The sequence below is a fragment of the Homo sapiens genome, chromosome 5 (genome assembly GCF_000001405.40).
Source record: "Homo sapiens chromosome 5, GRCh38.p14 Primary Assembly".
Lineage (NCBI taxonomy): Eukaryota > Metazoa > Chordata > Mammalia > Primates > Hominidae > Homo > Homo sapiens.
In genome coordinates this window covers 134,824,424-134,832,489 of record NC_000005.10, presented here as the reverse complement: position 1 = coordinate 134,832,489, position 8,066 = coordinate 134,824,424, and the positions used below count along the sequence as shown (strand labels likewise).

General features: G+C 36.9%; 1 protein-coding gene across 3 annotated transcripts in view; it reads right to left on the bottom strand.

Moving 5' to 3' along the window:
• Positions 1-1,368: 1,368 nt before the first annotated feature.
• Positions 1,369-8,066, bottom strand: part of DDX46 (DEAD-box helicase 46) — a 72,343-nt gene continuing 65,645 nt past the window's right edge. For all 3 annotated transcript variants that reach the window (NR_125341.2, NM_001300860.2, NM_014829.4), the window contains exons 22-23: positions 5,470-5,543; positions 1,369-3,831 (exon numbers count right to left, since the gene is read on the bottom strand). Coding sequence is in view for 2 of the 3 variants with exons in the window: in NM_001300860.2 (NP_001287789.1) it covers positions 3,784-3,831; positions 5,470-5,543 (122 nt within the window). In the remaining variant the exon portion in view is untranslated. The remainder of the gene's footprint in view (positions 3,832-5,469; positions 5,544-8,066) is intronic.

Genomic DNA, 8,066 nt, shown 5'->3' with positions numbered 1-8,066 from the left:
AGGAACTGCCTGACTCAAAAGAAAGATTAGGCCGGGGGCAGTGGGCTCATCCCTGTAATCCCAGCGCTTTGGGAGGCCGAGGTGGGCAGATAACGAGGTCAGGAGATCGAGACCATCCTGGCTAACATGGTGAAACCCCATCTCTACTAAAAATACAAAAAATTAGACAGGTGTTGTGGCATGTGCCTGTAGTCCCAGCTACTCAGGAGGCTGAGGCAGGAGAACTGCTTGAACCTGGGAGGCAGAGGTTGCAATGAGCTGAGATTGTGCCACTGCACTCCAGCCTGGGCAACAGAGCAAGACTCTGTCTCAAAAACAAAACAAAACAAAAGATTAGCAGTCACATGTGCATTGCGTACACCAACAAAGCCAGTGAGACGTGAAATATATCAAATAGTGGCAGGGCGTGGTGGCTCCTGCCTGTAATCCCAGCACTTTGGGAGGCCAAGGTGGGTGGATCACAAGGTCAAGAAATCGAGACCATCCTGGCCAACATGGTGAAACCCCGTCTCTACTAAAAATACAAAAAAATTAACTGGGTGTGGTGGCTCACGCCTGTAGTCCCAGCTACTTGGGAGGCTGAGGCAGGAGAATGGCTTGAACCCGGGAGGCAGAGGTTGCAGTGTGCTGAGATCACGCCACTGCAAATCCAGCCTGGCAACAGAGCAAGACTCTGTCTCAAAAAAAAAAAAAAAAAAAAAGAAATATATCAAACAGTAAAGTGTCCAAAAAGTGTGAGGGAGAACTTAGCTATTATTCTTTCATTCTACATATCCTTTTTTTTTTTTTTTTTTTTTGAGACGGAGTTTCGCTCTTGTTGCCCAGGCTGGAGTGCAATGGCGCCATCTTGGCTCACTGCAACCTCTGCCTCCCGGGTTCAAGCGATTCGCCTGCCTCAGCCTCCCGAGTAGCTGGGATTACAGGCATGTGCCACCACACCTGGCTAATTTTGTATTTTTAGTAGAGACTGGGTCTCTCCGTGTTGGTCAGACTGGTCCTGAGCTCCTGACCCCAGGTGATCTGCCTGCCTCAGCCTCCCAAAGTGCTGGGATTACAGGCATGAGCCACCGCACCCAGCCTACATATCCATTTTGTAAGAGTGTCACTGTGGCAAAACCCCAACTGGTAAATGAACCTATTATTTCACCTATGTTTCTCTTATGCTAAATACAATGAACATAAAAGACTTAAGAGCCTTCTTCAGGAAGACATTTTTGGAACAGAATTATAAATATTTTGGGTAATAAGTTGCTAGAATTTTTTAAATAAAAATAGAGAGTATAATACTTCTCTCACCAACATAAACAAAATTAGAGAAACAGAAGAAAGAAAAAGCATTGAGGAAAGATAATTTTAAGAAAGTGCAGATTGAATTCGAATTAATTTTATTTTATAAGGAATTTAGAAAACATGAGCAAATATTCATATTGCATTAAAAAAACAAAGTCTATATATCATTCAAATTTTAAAAGTCAGTGTGACACTAAAAAATGTACTAACAAAGTAATATGTTTCATTTTAGAACAAAATTTTATCAGTGGCTCATCACAACTGATATACAAACAAAATGCTAAAATGATGTAAAACTGAATCTCAAAGTGATCCAGTTGGATGAAGGGAGCACCAATTATCATCGATGTGGGACTGCCATATACTCTACCAAAGAAAACAAACTACCATTAGGTGATAAAGATGAGCAAATAAATAAACTAGAGGGAGGGAATGAGCCCACAATTTCTGAAATTTTACAGTAAGTGGTTTATTTGTTTCTGTTGTTACATGTCTTTTGTCTGTTTTCTTCCTTCAAGAAATTAAGTGGATGTGTGAAGGATCCAAGAATATTTCCCAGGTATATCTTACTTTTTCAGGAAGAATAACTTTATACTGAAGAAATAATGATTAATACTCCCTATCACTTCAGCCACTGAATATACTATTAAAATTATTTGTTTTTACAACTATAGTATGCTTTTATTTATTTATTTTTAAACTGTAAGTCAATAATATTTAAAGAATGAAAGTCTCTTCATTTAAGAAATATACAGTCATCCTTTGGTATGAGAGGGGGACTGATTGCAGGACACCCCTTAAACCCCTCCTCTATACCAAAATCCATGGATGTTCAAGCCTCTTATATGAAATGGCTTGCTATATGCATATAACCGATGCACATCCTCCTGTATACTTTAACCGCCTGTATACTGTAACCTTTAAATTACTTAAAATACCTAACACAATGTAAATGTTATAGTAAAACTTTTACAGCTGTTAAACTGTATTTTTAAAATTTTACATTCTTTTTTTCTTTTTTTTTTTTTTTCTATTTTTGATCTGTGGTTGGTTTAATCTGTGGGTTTGAAACCCTTGGATATAAAAGACTGACTTTATTTAACTCCTGAAAAAAATTCCTTTTTTGAAAAGTGACAATAACATGAAGTTAATACATCAGGAGTCTTGAAAAGAATATTAGGTAATCCAATTATAACAATTTAAATTAGAATATTCAGGAACTGTATCTTGAAGGCTCAAAAATACTATTTATTTATTTATTTATTTATTTTTGAGATAGTCTCACTCTGTCGCCCAGGCTGGAGTGCAATGGTGTTATCTTGGCTCAGATTCTTCTGCCTCAGCCTCCTGAGTAGCTGGGATTACAGCCACCCACCACCATGCCGACTAATTTTTGTATTTTTAGTAGAGACAGGGTTTCACCATGTTGACCAGGCTAGTCTTGAACTCCTGACCTCAAGTGATCTGCCCACCTCGGCCTCCCAAATTGCTGGGATACAGGTGTGAGTCACTGCGCCCAGCCTCAAAAACACAATTTATGATTCCTTGTGAATTAAATTTCACTAAGATGAAGCACATCTAAGTTTAAAACTTGGGTACCATTATGTTTTACAATTTTTAAGAAAGAAAATTCACAACCTACTCAATAATCCTGAAGAAAAATCAGATTAAAAGTAGTAGGATATTTGTACATACAACATGTATAGATATATAAATAAACACTTTCTAGAAGGAAAAGGTATCATATTTAGTATTTATAGGCTACACTCTTTCTTTTAAGGAAGATTATAAAAGAGGGGCTAGGTATGGAGCCAGAAGTTGTGAGGGAAACCTCAAAGTAGTAAATACTATAACTCTTTGTAGAGTTTTACACTCAGTGTAAAGAAATGCAAAAAAATCCTTATACTATTAAATCTTTACTTGTATAAAAACCGAAATTAGTCCAACTACTTTTTGCCCATTTATGATGATAAAAATTGAAACAAAAACTCTCAACCCATTTTGTAAGACTTCTATTATAACATTCTTAAATCCAGTTCATATTGTTCCAGAGTCATGTAACATCAAGGTGGGGACACAAAATATGATAGTGAATTTTACCTTTTCTTAGGAAATGATCACAATTTCATTGAAAGTACAGGATAAAGTGAATAGCCCCTTAACGACTTGTGTACTTTATTGTCTTCAATAGAAAGTTCAAATATTTCCATTTTTTAAACCTCTAGAATATTATCCGGACATTTAAAATATTGATATTTGAGTTTACATTAAAGGACATCATACTCTGAAAACAGGCTGGCTTTAAATATAGTTTGACTGATTGTGGGGGTACTTACGGACAGATTTCTTTACCAAGTACCAGTTTCTTATATTTAAAAAAAATCAGCAAGATAGAATTTAAAAAATCTTCATTTACAATACATTGTAAACTGCAGACAGCAACTGCCACATACATCATAGACCAGCACAGGTAAAAATCTTTTTTCCGGATGTCTATAAGACTTTGTATCTTCCTTTATTTGTTGGTTGGTATGAATTTTGCTGTAATAGGAAATAAAAGATATGTCATCAGAGAAAGCAAAACAAAAAAAACAAAAAAAAAAAACGAACCAACCAACCAACCAAACAAACCCAAAAGGAAATATTTAAGATCATTTCCTTTGCCAACTTATAAAACTATTGGTTATTTAAAATTTTAAATGTTACTATTACTGCATTGAGAAAGGAAAAACTATTCAATAACTAATGAATTCTCTGTTCACTCAACTATTCCTTAACAACTATGTTTTGAATCAACCTAATGGTGGTAGCATCTATGGGCACAAGATTCTTTTCGACCACTCCTTGGTGAAATAGTATTAAGCACATGATTTAACAGCTGTTTTACTTTTTCCCTCTTGTTTTGTGAACCCACTTTTCATTAAACTTCTAACCACCCCCACCCCCCAACAAAAAAAGGAATGCTCTGTGAGGGGAATTTTAGAAAAGCTCTCAGAATTACACTTAGATAAAAGACAACGTTTCCTTTCAAAGGAAATGTACACACTGTAGGGAGTGTTTATAAGCTGCAACTGGCACTAAAGACACAAGGACATGTCTACCTCCTCGGGAAAGGCAGTCTGTAAAGGGCTTTTTCCAAAATCAAATTAAGTCATTGTTTAAGTTTAAAGACACTGACAACACCATGTGTTGGCAAATATGTAGAACAACTGGAATTTTCTACACTTCTGGATTGAGTGTGAATTGATGTAACCTCTTTGGAAAACTATTTAGCAATACCTAGCCTATAATTAACAATTCTACTCCGAGGTATATACCCAAGGAAAAAATCATGCTAATATATACCAAACGCACATGGAATAATGTTCACAGAAGTGTTGTTCATAAAAACCAAAAATAAGAATAGCCCCCAAATCCAATATATAAATATAAATTAATTGTTGTATAATCATATAAATATTATATGGCCATGAAAATGAATTATTGCTACATGCAATAACATGGACCGATCTCCTCAAAATGTTGAGTGAAGGAAACTAGATGCAAAAGGTGCAAACGCATGATTACACTTATGTGGAGTTCAAAAACAGGAAAAACTAATCTATGATTTTAAAATTCACAATATAGGGCCGGGCGCCACGGCTCACGCCTGTAATCCCAGCACTTTGGGAGGCCAAGGCAGGTGAATCATGAGGTCAGGAGTTCGAGACCAGCCTTGCCAACACAGTGAAACACCATCTCTACTAAAAATACAAAAATTAGCCAGATGCGGTGGTGTGCGCCTGTAATCCCAGCTACTCAGGAGGCTGAGGCAGGAGAATCACTTGAACGCAGGAGGCGGAGGTTGCAGTGAGCCGAGATCGTGCCACTGCACTCCAGCCTGGGTGACAATGCAAGACTCAGTCTCCAAAAAAAAAAAAGAAAAGAAAAGAAAAAAAATTCAAGGTATGGTTTTGTTGGGGGGAGATGAATAGTGACAAGAATAGACACAGAGAAGACTTCTGGGATATTAGTAATGTTTTTTATTTCTTGATCTGGGTAGTGACTACACTGGTATGCTTATTACTTTGTGAAAATTCATCAAACTATATGTTTATGATTTGAGTACTTCTCTGTATTTATATTTCAATAAAACACTTATTAAAACAAAACAAACGAAACTTTAAGGTTTTCACTCACCAGCCGGATCAGCTCTTCTTTTATGAGCCTGGTGATTTCTGCCTTTGCTTTCTGCACAGCCAGTTCATTGGCACCTAGTGATTGAGTGGAAAGCATATTATTCAAATTACTAAACTTACACTGTGTTTACCCATATCACGGAGGTCCAGGAAGAAACACTGTAGGTGACTTTCAGAAACACTGTACTGCCTGCCAAGATAGCCATTTAATGCCTGGTGGAACATTACCCACATTATATAATGGCTGCTTATTATTTTGATTACTTTCAGAGTTTCAAATGTAACCACTGAGGTCATATTATGTGTTAAGAGTTCCTAGTATGGTGATTAAAAAGAGTGGAATAAAAAGACTATTAGTGATTTGTCCAGGAGATAGTAAGAGAAGGCTAAAGGGAAATATAACTTCCTTGGTTTATTCATTTAGTAAGTATTTATTAGACATTTATGATGTTCACTGAAGTCTACAAATGTTTCAGAAGGGTCTCGTCTGAACAAAATCTTTAAAATGAAAGGAGGACTAGCCAATTGGAGGGAGGAAAGATACCATAAGAGTATTTTGCAAAGGAAATTAATTACATGCGTAATGGTACAGAGTTAAGACAAGCATGCTTAATTATTGAAGAATAAGAGAAGCGTAGCGTGGTTGGAAAAGGAGTATGAAAGAACACCGCAAGATAGCTGACTAGATGAGGTAGGCTGCAGACATTCATTCACAGTTATCAATTTCATAAACATTAAGCACTCACCTCTCACATACTGTGAGACATTTAACATATAAATAACAAATTCATGCTCTTTAAAAGCTTACAGACTAGAAAAACAAACTTGTAAAGATATCAAAACAGGATGAAAAGGAAGTAGTTCACAAACTTCACTTTTAAATACCACTTTTAGGAAGTTTTCCTGACTCTGAAAGGCACAGTTAAGTGTTTTTTTCCTTAGTGCTCTCACAATATTGTATTTATACCATCACAAGAGCACACTTTTGAGGTAGAATGGACAAGATATTTTTTCTGATGGGATATGAACAGTGAAAAAGAGAAACAAATTAAGATATTAAGAGCTGGCTGGCAAGTGAAAAAAGGCAGAAGTAAAAGAATATACTGATTCCAGGAGGTAAACAGGTGTTTTCTGGACAGTGATAATGGGTGAAATTTAATTCTAAAATTGCTGTAGTTGAGGTGCTCATCAGACATCCAATTGGAAATACAGATGAGGCCAATGGAAATATGAACCAGAAGTTTAGAAGTGGCAGAGATTAGAGAGCCATCAAGGGTAGGCTGGGTAGAATCTGGAGCCAATGGACAATGCCAGTGAGTAGGTAAGTACAGATAGACACCATATTGCACACTGAGAAGAGAAAAAGAGCTGAATCAAAGAAGACTAAAGATTGAAATGTCTAAGAATAAAAGGAGGACTGGGTTTGCAACGTAGAGAGCTATATTTTTATCATTCCGTGTATTTTTAAAAAACACAAATGAGGGAAAGATTTATAATAAACGAGAAAATTTCCCCCCATATTAGAAATGAGTAACTTTTCTGTCCCCAGAGAGAGACAGAGACGGAGCTAGAAAGAGAGACAGAAACAGTTGCACAACAGGAAGGAAAAGGCCAAGGGTATGGCTATGAAGTCATAGCAACATATCTAATTTAAATCCTATACCTCCACTAGCCACCAATCACAACACTATAAAACTACGTGGGGAAGGTGAGTGCTGGAAGGGAAGAGAAAAAGAAGAATCAAGACCGAAGTCAAACTGAAAATTACAACAAAAATGAAATTTAGGAGGAAAACACGTTGCTTGGTATGAGTTGGTGTGAAGCTTGTTGATATTTTTGTGCAACTTTAAAAAGAAGGAAAATGACACTCTCACCTAGATTTAACTGGAAAATCAATTTTCCTACTTTTATCAGAGCCCGACAATTTGGACCAGTTTAAATTCTGACTTATGTAACTTCTTGTAATAGGTTACATATGTTTATAAGCAGCTATGAAAAAAAGGGCATTTCCTTTCATTGGTCCTAAAACAACTGTGGCTGCTTTTAAGGGATTCTCCACTAGTAAAAAGAGAGGGTCACAGAACAGGCTATATAAATTATACAGGCTGACTAGGCATGTAAGTCCTTCCTGTTCTCCTTCCCTTTGCCTGGTGGGAGGCCTGGAGCTGCTGAGCCAAACAGAGCCTCCAAGGAGCCAGCCAGGCAGTGGGGTCCCTCCAATTACAGAACTAGAAACAGATGACACTAGGCTCATTCCACAGTAGCAACACCTGTTTTCATCCTGTTAGTGTTTAGTTGAGTTCGGAGTTTCAAAAACTAAATGATCCTTTAAAAAATCTAATTACCTCTGAAAATTCTAAAAGATTTAGATCACTTAAATTACCAAACCCTAGCTCTTATTCAATATCATTATATTTCTTTTTCTTTTCTTTTCTTTTTTTTGAGACAGAGTTTCGCTGTTTTTGCCCAGGCTGGAGTGCAGTGGCGCCATCTCAGCTCACTGCAACCTCTACCTTCTGTTTCCAAGGTACTCAGCCTCTCGAGTAGCTGGGATACAGGCTCCCGCCACCATGCCCAGCTAATTTTTGTATTTAGTAG